Here is an 18,956-nt window from a genome sequence, read left to right as displayed (position 1 = left end):
CTATTATGCAGATAAATGATTACTGACACAATTAATTGTTCAAATGAAAGATTACTGATATGTTCAATTATAAATATGTTGACAAAATATATTAGTTCTAGTGAGTCACAGTTCTGATTTGGAGCACTCTATTCTGCTCATTTGAATTAAGACAAATTAGGAAAATAATAAGAAAAAAATTTCCTTTATTTTTCATTCTGTACGTGACCATTTCTATCCCTCTCTCTTTCTGTTAATTCTTTTAACTGTATTATCAGTTCAAGATCAGGGAGGTGTCCTTTAGAGTAAAATAACAAACATGAAGAAGCTTTGATATGGTTGAACCAGAGATCTTTTTTCCTATTTATTTGTTCATTTTCTTTCTTATACATGTGAACGCTTTTTTTCAAAATACTTTTTGTTTGTTAAGATAACTTTCTTTCTCACTGATATGAGAAGATTCTTCTTAAAAAGCATGATTTTTTAAAAAGAGGAGTGGTTTTATATGTATAAGTGTATATTTCCGTAATTTGTCTTATATTACAACTTTGGCCTTTTATCTTCTGTTCTTAAAGTAAAAGTATTTGTTTTGTTGAAGAAACATTAGTTCTTAGTACTTTGGCCATTGTTTTCAAGTTTCACTTATCCATTTGTTCCTTATAAATCCAGAGAGAATGATTAGCTGCTTCCCAGTGTTTATCTCCATGTGGAAAATTCCAACATCATAGGTTGAAATCAACTCAGGATATGGAGTTGCGATCATGTCATCAGATGTTAACTTTAGGTAAGCTGTATTGAAAGAGACAATTAATGTGTTAAATTGTTGTCCTAAAGTAAATTAATATAAATATAAATGCATATTTATTTAAAAAAGACAATTGTGTATTTTTTAATGAATGAGAAGATTCTAATACTTCAAATTATATCTCAATATTAATGTTTGCTTGTTTGCCTTTATTGATATAAAATTTAATCAATTTAGCTTGAATTTTATAGGTGATGTAGGGGAGATTAATATAAAGTAAAATTTTCAATTTGGAAGTAAAACTATGATGCACAGTAAAAATGGCAATTTGTTTTGGAATAAAATGGATAGACGTCAAGGATTTTAAAGCAAGTATCTTAAGCTAATTGGCAGACAATTTTTAATTTTGCAAAGAAAAGCTGGACATTTTCCTTGGATGAAATTTATGAAATAAAGTAAAATGGATTGGAATTAAGAAGAATTAATTAATTACTCCAAGGAAGCCTTATTCTTATTTCCCTTTAAACTGCCAATGAAACACAGAAAAGCATAGGAAAACTGACAACATTGAAACCTAAGACTCTTGGACTACTTTGTGCCCTAATCTGGAAGTAAATTCTGCCAGTATAAGGATGCTAGCAAATGATTAGGAGAAAATAATTCAAGCTTTTCCACACATATATGCTTCATTTTGTTGAAAGAGATGAAAAACTTTTTTTAAAAAAGCCTAAAAATAGCTTTTATAACTGCCCCTCTGTGCATAAAATCAGCAGGCAAACCAACTTCGCAGTCCTACTCTATGACATGGCAGAGAACAGCCACCCAAACCTTTCCCTTATTTGTTTCCAACATGTTCACAAAGACTTCCAATATGTAGGGGCAACTGGTAGTAGCACTTTGACCTAAATAATGTACTGTTAGGGCTGGGTACAGGCTCGCACCTGTAATCTCAGCATTTTGGGAGGCCAAAGTGTGAGGATTGTCTGGGTCCAGTAGTTTGAGATGAGTCTGGGCAACATGGCGAGAGTCCTTCGCTATAAAAATAAAATACAGTGAAATCAAATAAAATAAAGTATTGTTAACAAAAGTAAAAAATTACAGTTACATATGGGGAAAAAAGCCTGGAGATAAAAATTCTTCCTGGGTCCCACTAGTTTAAAGTATCAGAGAACCAGTGGGTTAAGGGAAGAAAACTATGCCATAAGACAATAGAAACATTTGGTGAACATCAGCAAAAACCTAGAAATGAGGCTGATCTGAGCATACCAGTCTGCATTTCTGTTAGAAATTTGAAAAGTTTACCAGGAGTAGGACCTCAGCCATTTATTCTCTAGTCTGTTAATAAACACTGAGACTTAGGACTGAATCTTTTGTATGGGAATTTGTAACACACACAGAAAATGTTGGACCTCTAGGAGGAATATTTGCTAATGAGAGAGTAGTAACTATTAGGTTCGTGCAAAAGTAATTGTGGTTTTTGCCATTAAAAGTAATGAAATGATTAGAAGGAATATATTTCTAATAATACAAGATCCTAAAGAAAGTTTTAATAAGTTAGTATTATCATCAAAAGTGTCATGACTTCTATGAAGAGAAAGTCACAGAAAAATAATAGAGAAACCAAAAGGTAGTGCTATGCAATGAAAAAGTTATAAAATAGAAGAAAAGAGGAGGGTAAATACAATATAATGGAAAGGAAAATGCTAAGATTAGAAATTTTCTGCAGGGAAACTCAAAATGTAATGATTAACTTAAATTCTGCACTAACAGCCAGAAACAGCAAAATTTATACCGTAGAAAATTTTATCAGTCTTGTAGAACAGTGTTTCCTCACAGGTTAGTGTGCATGGAAATCATCCAAGGTTCTTATTAAAATACAGATTCCAATGCACTAGTTCTCTCTGGGCCCAAGATTGTGCATTTCTAACAAGCTCTCACAACTACTGGTCTAAGCACCATGTATTGTGTAACAAAGCTGTGAAGAATAAACTTGCAGAGTAAACTGGAAATGGACAAACATAAAATAATTAAAGAGAAGATGATAGCTATGAATGACAATGAGCATGCGGATGTTTGTGTTTCCAAAGAAGAGATCAGAAAAGATGGAACAGTAGCAATAACTAAATGTACAGCTAAAGAAAAACTTCCTGATATTGACAGAGAACTGAGAATGCAGAAAAAAGGTATCACCATTTTCTGTGCAAAATTCAGTGAAGGGGTTAAAAATCTATAAACCCAGAAGAAGACAGAATGATCTTTGCTTGTGCAATCTTTAATAAATAAGACATTTATATTAGTTTAATGAAAATAGCTATGCCTCGAATTTAGTAAGATGACCATAACTTCTAATCTTGTGGCTTTAGGCAGTCTACTCCACTGGCAGTAAGGTTTATTATTGCCTTTGTTTCAAAGCTAAACTATAAACTAAGTTCTTCCCAAAGTTAGTTTGGCCCACACCCAGGAATGAACATGGACAGTCCGGAGGTTAAAAGCAAGATGAAGTCAGTTAGGTCAAATCTTTTTTACTCTATCAGTTATAATTTTGCAATATCAGTTCCATAACTTAAATGATGACTATCAGAGTTTTCATAAATAATCTAGGTAAGCAAATAAAATAAAATAATTAGGTAAATGTAATGGGATAAATACTTGTAGACAAATTCACCATAACTTAGAATCTAAAATTATATTAAATTAAATAATAGATATTTCATTATTTGGGTATTTTCCAATAAAATAGATTTGTAGGAAAACATTCTTTCTAAAAAAAAAAGTGTGTCCTTTCTAAAAAGGTGAATAATTTTTGTCTAATTCAAATCTTATTTAAAGGTCATGTATAAAACAAGGTAAAAGGAACCAGGAAACAGAAGAGATGTAAAGAAAGTTATAAAAATAAAAAGGGTTTTTCAGGTGTTTTGGGGGGGAAGAAAGCTTAAAGAGAAACAGTTTCGCATAAGAAAGAATCTTGTATGGTACATTTAGCCCTAGAGTAACATGACTGGTTATTTAAGAAGGAGGGATGTTCAGGAGAAACCAGAAACTCCAAGCATGTCATGAACAGTCTGTGTAAGTCAAAATAAGAGGATTTTTTTTAAAAAAATAAACTTTTATATAATCAAATAGTCACATTATTATTAAGTTTTGGATTGCTTAGAAAAAAACCCTGAGATTTAAATATTATTTAAAATTAAGATTATTACCTTCAAGCATCTCTCTGTATGCACTTTTAAAGTACTTGTGGCATTGAATTACAGGGCTTTGGCTCCTGAGTCTGAAAAGGGATTACAGGCACAAGCCAGCATGCCCAGCTAATTTTTGTGTATTTAGATAGTGACAGGGTTTTGCTATGTTGGCCAGGCTGGTCTCGAACTGCTGATCTCAGGTGATCTGCCGCCTTGGCCTCCCAAAGTGCTAGGATTACAGGCATGAGCCACCGCACCCGGCCGTTTTAAGTCTTCACTCAATGTTTTAGAGAGGCCTCTAAATTAGTCACCTCTGATATTTCCTCGCATAGCAACCTCTTCTTTTCCTTCATTGGACTTTTTTTTTTTTTTTGAGACAGAGTCTTGCTCTGTCTCCCAGGCTGGAGTGCAGTGGCATGATCTTGGCACATTGCAACCAAGTCCTGCTAAATTTTAAACACTAACAGCAATCGAAACCCCATCATCAGGCCCACTAGAAGATGTCAATCAAAATAAACTGCATTCCTGAAACACAGGGCCAGAAATTAAAGCTATTCAAGTCCTCAAGGCCCAGGGATCATTGAGGAAGAGGGGGGCATGTAAGATTGTAAGGGCCAATTTTGAGAGCTAACATAAGTTCACTTTCTCTATAAATTAATCATTAATATCTAAGGCACACTGATGCAAGGCCAGCACATGGGCCTGTTTCAGATTAACAAGGTTTTCCTGAAGCATTAGTCAACTCCTACATAAAGGTTATAAAGGTTAAGAAAGGTATATGGAAGTTATATCTCATGGTCAAGATTAAAATTTTATAGATGATTGTTTATAAAATTTTGAAAAACAAATTTAATCAGCTTGATACTGTTTTTATTAGGACTTATTATTTGGAAAATTGAGTCTCCTCTCCAAAAGAATGAAGGTTTTTGCTGGTTTTTTTTTTTGAAATGCTTGAGGTATCACTTTTGTCAAACAAATGACTTATTTTACAATGACCTGTGATATCAAGTGTTTTACACCTTTGATATTTGACAAGCTTTCCAAAATCAAATGATAAATTATGCCTTTTTCTGATCTAACTAATCCTTCAAAATATTGGATTCCTTAACATCCAAAAATGACATAATTTGGCTTACTTGGTATAAAAATTATACAGGAAACATTGTCAAATATGAAATGGTGTTTATTTTTCTTTAGGCTGTATTTGTATGAATACATCATTGCTATGTCTTCCAAAATCATGGGAAACTCCTATAATTCTGATATGACTTAGTGTACATTATCAGTAATAATTATAATTGTTATGTTAAATTGTTGTGTGCCACAGAAGTAACAAATTTGCTTGTAAATTGTGTCTTTGACTATGGTTGCCCTAAAACATTTTGTCATCCATGGACAATTGTTGTCTTGTTTTGGTCCTCCTTAGAAGGTGGTTTTATAATCATTTATAGAACTCTAACAGGTGTCCTTAAAAGCAGATTTCTGATAACTTTGGAGATTGTGACATTACAATAGAGGAAGAAACTTTCAAGACTCTCATGGAGAGCTGAAATGTTCATGAATATCAAGGAGAACAGGAATAAAATGCATGAACTGAACTAGTAGAAGACAAAGTAATCTTTTTAACTTTTTGGATAAAACATTGCTGATTCTTTGTTTTTTTTTTCTCAGAGTCAAGAAAACTTTTAAGCTATTTACAGCTTTTAACAATTAAGTATGTTCCTACAAACAAAATTTGGAGCATATTTATTTCTCTCTACTGATTTCTCCAGAATTTGTAAACTATTTGTGAGTATTCTTATGACAATACAGTTATCTGCATAAGTGCGATAAAAATCTGTTGGTTGGGTGTGGAGGCTTACACTTGTAATCCTGGCCCTTTGGAAGGCTGAAGTGGGAGGGTCATTTGAGCTCAGGAGTTTGAGACCAGCCTGAGAAACATAATGAGATCTCATCTCTTAAAAAAAAAAATCTGTTTTTATTTGTAACAGGACACAGTTGGAGAAACTGGTTGTTTTACCAAGGCTTTGACTGGAATGATGTGCTTTCCTTTAAGGAATCAAGCTTGACTTATGGAGACAATAAAAGTCCCTTGGAAAAACTGGCCTCATACCTTGGTCTACATAGCTCCTGATCTGCGGTAGGTAAAGAATGTCACTTTCTGACAGGTTCAGGAGCCCTAGGTTTATCTTGGAAAGTCAAGAGGAGAAGATCACCCAACTTGTAGGTATTTAATGACACAAATCCATGGCTGGGCTTGGCTTTAAAAAAAAGTCTTATCTGAGATTCCTTCTATGGAATAGAGTTCCATCAAAGCCAATTTAAAAACCTATGCAAAAAAAATAATTATTCTTGCTGCACTGTATACAAATAATCAGGCCAAGTGTAATAAAACAAATCAGTTCTGCCAGGATTTGCCTTTAGTAAAAATGGGAAACTGGAGAGAGAAAAACTATGTTTCAAAAACTATAGTATACCTGTTTTTAGATTCTAGTCTTGCCTAACATTTTTCAATTTTTATTTTTTTCTAGTTTAAACCTAATTCTAATTTTTCTTAACTACAAGTCTTCAAAATAATGTTTTCAATTTTTTTCTGCTCTTTTTCCCCATTATTCCTAATTTGGAGTCACTGAAAACTAAACTGCTTTTGTAAAGCCCTATGAACTGAAGCTAGACAACTTAAACTTCAGAAGAAAATAACAGCAACCTATTTACATGCATAAGCTACTTTCATACCTGCCTACTGAAGGCTTCAGAGTAATGTGGCCTATATCAATTTTCTAGGATTGTCCTTTTGTTTGCTGCTGTTTTTCTCCCTTCCTCTCCCTATTTTCTCTTCACAGGACATGAGACTTCACAACCTTCCAAAAATGAGCTTTCCTAATAACTTGGTATGTACCTGTCTAAGAGTAAACCATCACAGCCATGAGAGAGCAGACGAAACCTGGGACCAGAGACTCATTTTCTTCTAAAATGCTTTCTCCAAAAGATTTTAATAAAGAAAAGGGGAGAAATGTGAGAGGAAAATATCTTGGGCCCCCCAAATCACTAAGCTAAAGGGAAAATTCAAGCTGGGAACTGCTTAGGGCAAACCTGCTTCCCGTTCTATTCAAAGTCATCCTTCTGCTTACTGAGATAAATGCATATCTGATTGTCTCCTTTGGAAAGGCTAATCAGAAACTCAAAAGAATGCAACTGTTTTTCTCTGACCTACTTGTGACCTGGAAGCCCCCTCCCCTCTTTGAGTTGGCCCGCATTTGCTTCAAGTTGTCTCACCTGTCTAGACCAAACCAATGTTCATTTTACATATGTTGATTGACATCTCATGTCTTTCTAAAATGTATAAAACCAAGCTATGCGTTCTGACCACCTTGGGCACATGTTGTCCAGACCTCCTGGGACTCTGTCATGGGTGTGTCCTCAACCTTGGCAAAATAAACTTTCTAAATTAACAGACCTGTCTCAAATTTTGGGGGTTCACAATACATAGAAACAATTGGAAGGATATGTTCCTGCTCCCTGATGTGGAATTCTGGGAGATTATTTATTTATTTAGAAGACACAGGTGTCATACTCTGTCTCCCAGGCTGGTCTTGTACTCCTGGCCTCCAGAGATCCTCCTGCCTTGGCCTCCCAAAGTGCTGGGATTACATGCATGGGCCACTGCAACCAGCCCAGGAGATTGTTCATTTTCTTCTTTCTTCCTGTTTTTTTTTTTTTCTAAATTTTCTACAGTAAAGGTAAAATGGATCTATTTTAAAAAGTCTAAAAAATAGAAGTCACTAGTAGTGCCTATCACTTGGTACATAAAGATGTCCACTGCCTTATTTCATATTTTACAACAAAAATCTAAAGCGTTTTCAAAATTAAATAGACTCTAATGATGCTCAGGATACGTTAATAACTACAGGGCAACCTGGGACACCATTGCTATAACTTGATCTCTCCTGTTAGAGTAAATTATTTTCTTGTCCCACTCCTGATTTTTTTTAACATTACAAAACTTCCAAAACCTATTAAAAGGAATAAATAAATTAGATTGGGTTTGGTTTTATGCTCTGATCTTTAAATTATTTTTTCAAATCAAAATTCACTTCAATAAAATTAAGGGTAGAAAATATTCTGATTCTATTATTTATATAAATGCCATGACTAGTATATCTATTTTATTGAGCAACAGATTTTTAAAGCAAAAAAAAAAGAATAAAAGGAGATGCTGGAACTGATGTATTTTTTTAGGTACAAGTAATGATAGAAACCTTTTTTTCTAGTGACAAGAAAAGGGACATATATCTTTTTTACTAAAGAGGAAAATAGTGTTTTAGAAAATTTTTAAATATTTTTCCCTAAATGTACTTTAATTTTGTTTTCTGTGGACATTTCCTAAATATAACTGGATATTTGGAACCACAAATTACATGTATTTTCCTACATATATCCAATCTGCAATTTCAACATTCTGTCAAAAAGTTTAGTAAACTTAATGGAACATAATTAATATTCATTCTCATATCAAATTCTCAGCTGACATTTTAGAAAACAACAATAACAAAAACAAAGGAAAAGAAAGTAAAAGAAGGGAAAAAAAGTCATCTCTTCTGATATTTTAGACATTGGAAATAAACATATTGTATTAGAGTTACGTTTTAAGTCCAAAAAAGTCCTTTAGGCATTTTCCAAAATGGAAAAAAAACATTTTATCTCATCTGTATTACATTTCAGATCACCAGTGAACAATTGCTTTTTGGAAACTATAAACTCTAGTTATTTAGGTGGTAACTGCCTTCCTAAAGTAATTCTCACTTTTTCTCAGTATGTGGTAGATTTTTCAAAATGGCAGGAACACGGTCCCCTCAATATCTTTAGATACTTGTTATCTTCCTAAATTTATCTTTCACTCCATAGCCTTTTCCATGTGAATTTGAAGTGTCCTTTTATTCTGATGCTGGGGTCTGCCAGCATTCTGGCAATGGGAGACTAGGTGATGGGATACAGCAGATCTTGAAAAGCACTCATGCGAGTGTGCATGCCTGTGCTTGCCCTCTTCCTCTGCCATGAGAACATGCACCAGCTAGCCTGCTAGAAAACAAGAGACATGGAAAGCACAGCTGAGCCTCCCTAGTTGCCACAATGCTATTACTAAATCAGATGACAGCCAGTTGACTCCTAGACATGACAGCAAGCCCAAAAGAGATCAGCAAAGCCACAAAGCTGACCACCCAAGACACACAAGGAAAAAGCATATATTGTTGTGTGCCACTAAGGTTTTGTGGTTGCTGGCTACATGTCATTATTGTGGCAATATAGAGCTGATTCAGCAGATACATCAGGACTGTGTTGGCACTGTTTTATAATAAAGTGAATTAAAGAGCTTTGGAACATCCTGTACAGAAAGCAATGAAGAGAGAGAGTCTGAAGTGATTATGAAAAGAATATTGAGCAAGAAGAGGAACTTCTTGAGTAAGAAGTGGAACTGAGAGGTGCTCATCATGACATTTAAATATTTCCTGAGAATTCTCAGAAATATTAGGGGTGAGGAGAAAGCTAAATTTCCTATAGCCAAATGTAGCTTGGTGACACAAAATACTGTATTTGGTTATTTAAAAGAAGAGGGGGAGGTAAAACGTAAGAAGGCCAGAGCACCTGGGACCTTGTTTTACTAAAGCTTATTATGGTGAGTTTCTTGAATCCTTAATGCAACAAGGGAGGGAACAAAGAATAGAAAGTAAAGAATGTGCTTCTTTTTCCCATGATTAATAAGCCACCAAGGAGCAGAGACAATATGTTATTTATTTATTTTGTCTCCCACAGTATCTAATACTGTGATTTATGCATAAATTAGCACTAGTATGTGGTTTGTTGAATTCAGCTGGACAATTATGAAATAATTACATTGTAATTCCTTTGAGTTCTACATTAGAGTTCTCATCCAAGATTTTTCTGAAAGCCACATTCAAGTGTTTGAAATTGACACAGAACCCCATGTTTATTTGCATATAGTTCAATTTTAAGATCTAACCAACCTAATCTAACTTCATGTAATTACAAATTTAGTTTCAGTGGCCCTGGTTCCCCATGACAAAAGTACAAAGAGTACCCGCAAGAAGTAAGTTGAAGATAAGGAGTGAGGAGAAGGAAGGTTAGTGGTAAGGCCACCAGTGATTCTAACAGCAAAGGGACAAGAAAAAAGACTGGAACTTTATTTAGAGGATAAAGCTGATGCCTGGCTTGCCATCTTGCCCAGATGGGACCTCAGGTAAGTCATTTAATGTCCCTAAGCTTCCTTTCCTTTAATTACTTCAATTATCTGCAAAAATGAAGTGAATAAATATGCCCTGTTTACTTCATTGATCATAATGAGAATGAATGGATACGGGATATGTGAAAGCCATACAGACATTACACAATGTGATAAACCATCATCCTAACACACAAACCTAATCTTTATTGTGACTCAAGATTAGGGAACACTATGTTTTACATAACATCATGCTGATCTAACTCTAGCTTTATGATGTTAACTAATCTTTTCTAAATCCAGAGAGCATAATACCACCCCTTCGAAAAGAAGTGTCCACTTGCCCTTTGGCCAAGCTGTAAACAGACGCACCAAGAAACTTCCTCAGTGAGGCTGTCATCTTGGCATTAGATCCATGAGTCAGAGATTTTGGCTGGCTAAATTGTAAAGACCACTTTGAATAACTTGCAATTGTCTTGTTTCTTAGACTATGCACACTTTCTCTCTTTCAGTTAACGTTAAAATGATATATGCAATAAATTGCATATTTGAGTAAATGACATACGCAATAAATTACAACATATGCAATAAAATCAATTAGGTAGCCTTTTCTGAAATTCAGTAAACCCACCAGGAAGGGTCAGAGATAAACCCTTGATATCTAGCAAAAACAAATAAAAATAAGATTTTCAACAGATCAGTGGATTTCATAAAAGATAGAACGTATAATATGAAAGAAACACTGAGGGTACATGATCATCTGTGAAGCATAATGTAATGAGAACAATACTGGACTTGAACTAAAAGTTTTGTGTTCACAGCCCAGATTTACTCCCAACTATATGATGTTGAGCAAATTACTGAATGTCGCTTAAGCCTACGTTTTTGCATTTATATAAGGATAATAGTACCACCTACCTTACAATATTACTGAAAAAGATTCAACTGGGCAAGGCTAATTAAATAATAATAAAGTATACCATATTCTTAGTTTCCTTTTTTAAAAAATCTTTCCTGAATTTTGGTTAGAGTAAGTCCTGATTCAAAGGACAGATGTGTGTGTCTTCCTTCCTTGAAACTAATACTGTTTCTGGTGAGCTTTTGCTCATCCAACTCTGTAATAGAAATCCCATATTCTTGCTATAAATAAAGGCCTTTATAATTTGTGACATTTACTTCTTACCTAAATATTCTGCAACTGCAGATCTCAGACTCTGGCTCTGTCACATGAAAAAAGTCTTCTGTGTGCTCACTGCGTCAGCATACTCTACCACCCTTTCTGTATCACCTCATATGGTAGGAGCTTACATAATTGTAAAGTGGTTGCATAGCAACCAAATTATCAAACACCTCCATCCCACTTTTTCTGTCTTAAACCCTCAAACAACTAGTGGAGCATTTTCAGTTAACAACAGTCTTTAATCAGAGGAGAGAAAATTCCAGGTTGCTGATTCAGTTATTTCTTTTTATTTACCTCTATTTTTATATTCACCCGGCTCGTGTGAAAAACAAAAACTGAAGTACTCACAGATGAGGCAGTGTTTAGCATCTAAACACACCATATGCCAAGGGATAGATGTTGTTGTTGCAGCTGTCCAAAGTTAGCCAGGTTAACACTGACAAACAGCTTCCCCCAGAACATGAGAAAACCACGGCCGCCTGCTCCTTGTTGGCTGGTGGAGTGAAACAGACTTTACAGTACACTGGATCAGCTAAACTGTGAATTACAGGTGAACCAAAGCCATTCTGTCAGTCATTCAAGGAAAAATGACTTCACTCAGCTAGAGGACACTCCCTTGACAAAAAAAAAAAAAAGGAAAAAGGACTTGAGAAATCATTGAATCAAGACCTTCCTTGCTCAGTTCAATTGATTTGCCTAAAGTCATAAAAACAGTAACTTAGTCGCAAAGATGTAATAAGGAAAAATCTTCCTACTTGAATTAAGGATTCCTCCAAGGAGGCAGCATGATACTGTTTTAAGAGCACAGGGCATTAAGTATAACCACCTTGGTTTACATTCTATTTCTCAATTACAAGCTACCACCAAGTTAACTTTTAGGGGTTTCAGTTTCCACAATGCTACCTTACAGCATTATTTGGAGAGCTGCATAAGACAATCCACATGATATTCATGTTACTGCACCTTGTGCAAGTTAAGTACATGTTAGCAATTATTATTATTATTATTCGGTGGTCTAGGAAATCCAAATTTGTCTGGTCCAGAAACAAACAAATTGTCCTATGTCTTCAAAAGAATGGAGCATCCTACATTCAATGGAACTGTAAAGTCAAATAAGCTTTAAAAATTTAAAACTATATCTAAATCACTGACTATTTGGTTTAAAATTCTGTCCCCCCTGGTTCTTGGATGACTATTCTAAGTGTTCAACAAATTTCACCAGCTCAAAACAGTAACCACATATAATGTGGAATTAAGAAACAAGAGTTTGTATTTCTACCTAAAACTCTCATTTGACCCTTTAAACCAGATTCCAGTTTTTTTTTGCTTTGTTTGTTTGTTTGTTTGTTTTTTGGTGGGAGGAAAGAGGAAGAAAATGAACAAAACAAAAATATATGCAGTATAAGAAACCCGGTCTAGTTTGAGCCTTGAGCCATGACGTAAACATTCTTTTAAAGAGAAGCTTCCATGATTAATTACTACAGTTTATTTTTTCCCCCTCTAGGAAATCAACAATCAACTAGATGTAACACTTGGGAGAGTTTATTTTTGGCTAGCCTAGTAATTATAGCCAGAACAGAGCAGGGCAGGTAGATAGGAAATATTTTAGAAACTATTTTATCAAAGCATCAGGATTTTCAAAAAGAACAAGGCAGGGGTTCCCTCCCACACTTAAAATAACAATGAAAAACATGGCTGCGGTTAGATTCTTTAAGAAAAAGAATAAGTTTGAGTCTTGCTCTTGGGCCTGGCCACGCTTATCGGTGTTATGCTTTGCATGTCAGATGCTCTCTTCTGTAACAGTCTTCTCTTTGCCTAGTGAGGAGGAAGACTCATTCTTTCTGCAACCTCAAAGAGTTAATCAATATGAACATAAATATTCAACAGATATCAATTGTCCTTTTGCCTACCTCTGTGATACCAGGAATATTTTCTCAAATGACTTCCAAGTGTTGTTTTGCCATGTCTGTAAAAACAGACTGTCAGAAGTGTCTGGATCAAGCAATGGGAGCAGTTAAATAGAGCTTTCACCCCTTTCGTCTTTCTTCTGGAATAATTTCTCTGACTCTCATGCATACAGTGCACACTAGCAGATGCTAGCGTTTTGGCGTTATCTGTGACCTTCTATAAAAGTTGCTACTAAGATGGGCGCAGCAGCTCATACCTGTAGCCCCAACTACTCTAAATGGCTATGGTATTCTCAGGCTAAACTCATTACAGTGTAATAATCTGCTATTCCAAAAATATTTATTTACTTGATAGCACAGTGGACCCTGAAAGGCATTGTAGGTCTTTTTGTTTGATTAATTGCCTGTTCACTTTGTTTTCAAACATCATCAATATAGAAGAGGAAAATGATATTAACAAAGACCATATAGTGCTTAAAGTATGTGAAGCTGGTTAAAATATTCCCAGTTGATATTTCTTTCTCTGGCCATATGAAGAAATTTACAGGCCAGTCATGGTGGCTCACATCTGTAATCCCAGCATTTTGGGAGGCCAAGGCAGGAGGATACCTGGAGCCCCGGAGTTTGAAACTAGCCTGGGCAAAATAGAGAGACCCCCCATCTCTACAAAAATAAAAATAAAAAGGAAATTTACAATTTTTGGCTAAGAGGATATAGTATCATGTGAGAGAACTTTAAAACAAACTTAATCCAGGCAGTGCCACCACCCTCTGCCCCCACCCATCTTCATTAGTACTGGATCAGGAAGTACTTTATACTCAGTTATCTTTGCTTTTCGGTGCTGTGACCTTGTATAAAAGTTGCTACCAAGCTGGGCGTGGTGGCTCATGCCTGTAGTCTCAACTACTCAGGAGGCTGAGATGAAAGGATCATCGCTTGAGCCTGTGAGGTCAAGGCTGCAGTGAACTGAGATGGTGCCACTGCTCTCCAGCCTGAGCAACAAAGGGAGACCATGTCTTAAATAAATAAATAGAGTTGCTACTACTATGTTCAACTGCAAATGTTAGATGAACAGTCATTTAAATGAGAATTGAAGCCCATGGTAAGAAAGACAGGAATTTTTGTGATGAATTAAGTAAAAAAGGTGGTTGGTTGAATTTGACTCACTAAACAATGGTGAGTCAGTTAGGAAGTTGAGGAATGTGGACAAATGAGGAAGAAAAGACCAATAAAGAGCAGGTACATATATAGAAGTGCCAATAATATCAGCTTCTTTTAGCCTAGTTTTTCCTAAAACTTTGGGTACTTAGTAAAATTGTTGAAAAGTTCATTTGAGAATCATCTGGAACAACAGGGATGAACTTTGAAAAATTATGTCAATTGAAACTTTATAATTCCACTTATATAAAGTACCTAGAGTCAAATTCATAGACACAGAAAGTGGAATGGTTGTTGCTGGGGGTTGGGGGAGGAGAAAATGGGGAGTTATTTTTTAATGGGTATAGAGTTTCAGTTTGGGAAAATGAAAAAGTTCTGGAGCTGGATGGTGATGACGGTTACAAAAGAATGTCAATGTACTTAATGCCACTGAACTGTACACTTTAAAACAGTAAATTTTACGTTATGTATATTTTATCACAATAAAAAAGAATCACCTGAAAAAAGATAGCAAAGGAGGAAACTGACTAGGATACAATTGAAAGAACCATGAGAAACAAATAAATATATATAGACCAAATTCCTATTATCATAGTCTGTTTTTACCTTGAAATGTATAGAAAAGTTCAGCAAAAGAGTGCCCCCTTGTGGACCTCTGCGAGGTGGCAACATGCATAATTAATCCTGAATGTCCCTGTACAATTACAAGGCTCTTTTGAATTATACATGCTTGCATTCCTCGATGACAGGGGCCTCAAAAGCCTCCCAAAAGTTAACTCAAGATCAGAGACTGAAGAAAAGGATGCTGATATATTTTGAAGAGATTTCTCTTAATTTCTAAGTTGGCAGAGTCAAGACTATTCATTTCTTGAAGGTTTTTAAAAGTTGAAGTTTAACGGTTGTTATGGAACTGCAACTTAGGATGTTTAAGTTCATGTTGGGTTTCTGGAGGAAGTCTCTCTACAAGAAAAAATATTTGGAGTGTTTTCTGTAGGGGATATCTTTGAAGATTAACCTTCATTCATCACTTCAATTTGTTCTGTTTCTCAGCAAGAATGACTTTTTCGTTACTTCTATTCAACTTTGCTCTTAATAAATAGAAAACTAGAGAAAAAATAAATATCTGTATGACTTCCACAAAGTGGTATAATGTCCTTCCACAATATGTATGTTAACACTTTTATTTCAAGTAGCTTTTTGATGATTATATAATTGTTCTTTTTTTTTAATCTACAGAATTTAATCAACCTCATATAGTGGCCAAGGAACATATTAAATAAGTTTTTCAAGGTCGTTGAAAGAATGAATGGGAAAGCAAGATTAAAATTCTGATATCCCACAGTGATGTTAGCTGGTTGCCAACACTGTTGCTCTACAAATGTAGTTCTTAAGTAGAAACAATTTTTTAGTTGGAATTTCTCAAGGTAATTCTATGATTTTGTGAGGAAAAATGACATAGAATTGACCAAAATTCCTTTTGCAGGCATAGGTTCCTAACTGTGAATATCCTGATTTTGAAGAAAACAGTAGATTAATTTCAACTGCTGGCAGCTTTCACTTGACCTTGCAAAGGTTACAATTATCCAGAAATCTCATACGTAAGTACCGTTTAGTGAAAAGTTCAAATTAAATATCTCTTTACACGTGGACTTCTGTTTCCTTAGGATCTGGAGCCTGAACCAGACTAGTATTGATATAATAACTGTACCTAGCTTAAACAGTTTGTATTGATCCACTCTGAGATGCTTTGGAGACCATTAGTCATAAGTTCACACTGTTATTGTAAAGCTTTACGAACCGGCTATTATCCCTTCCAGTTTTAACTATGTGGAAGTTTTTTTAAAAACTTTTAATTTTGCAACAATTTGAGATTTACAGAAAAGTTGCAAAGATAGTGTAAAGAATTTTTTTATACCTTCAATCAGTGTCTCCTCATGTTAACATCTTACATTATTCTGCTACATTTGGCAAAACTAACAGACTTATACTGGTACATCCCTATTAACTAAACTCCAAATTTTATGTAGATTTCACTAGTTTCTCCACTGATGTTCTTCTATCCCAGATTCCCATGCAGAATATCATATTGCATTTAGCCGTCATGTCTCCTTAGTCTTCTCTTCTCTGTGAAAGTTTCTCAGTATTTTCCTATTTCTCATGACCTTCACAGTTTTAAGGAATATCTATTTTGTAGAATGTTAGCAAGTTCAATTTTAACCAAGAAGATAAAAGTTATACACTAAGAATGTTTTTCTCATGATTAGACTGGAGTTATGGGTTTTCATATCAGGCAGGGGTATATAGCATCAACATAACTTATCACTGGTGATGAGAACCTTGACCACTAGGTTAAGGTTGTGCTTTTCCACTAGAAAGTTGCTATTTTTCCTTTCACTATTCTTTGGGAGAGCATCACTGAGTTCAGCCCACACTCAAGGTGGAAGGGAGAGGAGAGAATATCTGCATATGTTATTTGAAATTTTCTGGAAGGAAAATTTGCCAATTGTCTCCCATTTATTTATTTGTTCAATGATTTCTTTGTACCAGCACAGACTCGTGTGGTGTTTTAAACTTTGGATTATAATTCACTACCACATTATTTATTTCACTGCCCAAATTATTCCAGCTTTGGCCATAGTGGTTTCTTTCAGGTTTGTTACTGTGACCTTTTGACATGCCTTCATTTTTTAGGGGGTGGGGGGTGTTTGTTGTTTGTTTGTTTTCTTGCTTGCTTGCTTTTGAGCACTTCTGGCACTAAAAGATGATCCAGGTTCATCTAGTATTTACCCGATCCCAGCCCTAGAATCAATAATTCCTTCAAGGAGCTCTGATTGATTGTTTCTATTGGTGACTGATATTTAGAAAGCAAGATCTAGAGACTTAGTGTGCTCATTGCTATAGGGTGTCATTGCTTCTAGGCTCTCCCAGCAAACTGAAGTAGGAAACACATGTATGTATGCTAATAATACATATATATGTATATAATCACATCTATAATTATTTCTCTGTCTCTCAATATATATATAGATGATAAGTGGTTAGATAGATGATTAGTAGATATTAATAGATAATAGGGATTCCTACTGAAGTCTCTAACACTAATATATAGTACTACAGAGTTTATTTGAGTCTTCTGTTGAGACTTACTAAAAATCTTGAACTTTACTTCCTTTTATTAACTGAATATTTTTGGTATTATGTTTTATATTAGTAAAGGATGTTTCCCTATTAAGCTGATGCTGGTGTACTTTGGTAGCATAATGATGTTGCAGTATCATTCTCTATAAATCAAGCAAAAATGTCTTGATCCATGTGGCAGACACTGCTGATTATCTGCCTAATATTTCATCTCTTCTTCATTCCACAAATTTTAAGGACAGCACTGTGTCCAGTTAAAAATTCTCCTCCATAGACTCTTTTTAAGGTAGAATTGCCCCCATGTAATCTAGACTTACAAGATGCAGGAGGAAACTTCCTGTAGGAAGCTTGTGGGAATGTCATTGTTTTCGCAATAAAATTCACCTTTGCCCTTCATCCTGCTCTCCTCCTCCCATATGAGACATGCAAATGACATCTGGAGGTGGGGCAGCCATCCTACAACCAAGAGGATAAAAGACACTAGAATGGCAGAGAAGGAAGGGAGAAGGAGCCTGGTCTGATGAGTTCTGTTAGCACCATCTCTAATGCATCATCTTTGGTCTGCCTACCCCTAGACTTCTTGTACATGGGGAAAATGAGCTCATATTTGGCTAAGCCACTTCTGTCTGTTGTGTAACATTCAACACAGTAATCTAACCCCTTGGGAGGAACAGAAGGACATATTTTTTTCTTTATAAATTGGATGGTCCATTATTGTAATTATATGTGGCATAAAATGCCAGCCAGTGCTTGTTCATTATATTATGCTTAGGTGTGGAAGAGCATATTTCAGGTTCAAGAGTTAGTATGCAAAAAGATGAATGGAATTCAGACTACTTATTCTAAACAGCATGTTTCAGGATTAGCCAAAAGCTCATCCATACATACTATTTAAAGAAACAAACTTTGGAAAAACAAGGTAATTGTGTATGGGTCCTAAGGTCATAGATTAGTATCATAAGAGATTGATGTTCAGAATGTGATTCAATATCTTAAGTATATAGTCTAATAATTCTTGAGGTGGCAAGAGGGGATATGGGGTAGAAAGGGAGAGTAGGGGAGTGTCAGAGTTCATGGGAGAATATGCAGTGTGAAAAAATTAAAATTATAATGATTTTTGATCAATGTACTTAATTTTCTTTGAAAGTGAATAATGATAATAGTAATAGGCATATATGATACTCTGAGCAATATACTAGGCATGTAAAAGAATTATAACATTAACTTGTCACAATAATACTTTGCAGTAGCTATTCTTAGTATCTGCATTTAAAAGATGGGGAAACTCAAATACAGAAGTGTAAGATCACATATCTGGTAAGTGCTCATAATTCAAACCCAAATACGTCTGATTCCAGGATCTAGGTTCCTCCCAATTTCACTGAAGTGTTTTTTTGCTAAATAACTAAAGGAAGGTATAGCACTCCTA

The 18,956-nt window shown here is 35.0% G+C and overlaps 2 long non-coding RNA genes across 3 annotated transcripts in view; one reads left to right on the top strand and one right to left on the bottom strand.

The window, feature by feature from the left end:
* Window positions 1–18,956, top strand: part of LRRK2-DT (LRRK2 divergent transcript) — an 82,057-nt gene that overhangs the window by 55,807 nt on the left and 7,294 nt on the right. The window contains exons 2-7 of one of the 2 annotated variants that reach the window (NR_186757.1): window positions 649–763; window positions 5,578–5,694; window positions 5,963–6,797; window positions 9,298–9,438; window positions 9,961–10,162; window positions 15,873–15,987. This is a non-coding gene — a long non-coding RNA (LRRK2 divergent transcript). Of the gene's footprint in view, window positions 1–648; window positions 764–5,577; window positions 5,695–5,962; window positions 7,377–9,297; window positions 9,439–9,960; window positions 10,163–15,872; window positions 15,988–18,956 lie in introns of those variants that run through there. The other variant, NR_186756.1, reaches the window with a different exon arrangement.
* On the bottom strand, window positions 169–11,777 carry LINC02471 (long intergenic non-protein coding RNA 2471). Its single transcript, NR_146526.1, has 2 exons — window positions 11,673–11,777; window positions 169–768 (listed from the first exon to the last, which is right to left on the bottom strand). It is a non-coding gene; the product is annotated as a long intergenic non-protein coding RNA 2471 (long non-coding RNA).

The sequence above is a fragment of the Homo sapiens genome, chromosome 12 (genome assembly GCF_000001405.40).
Source record: "Homo sapiens chromosome 12, GRCh38.p14 Primary Assembly".
NCBI lineage: Eukaryota > Metazoa > Chordata > Mammalia > Primates > Hominidae > Homo > Homo sapiens.
This window is presented reverse-complemented; position numbering and strand designations above follow the sequence as displayed.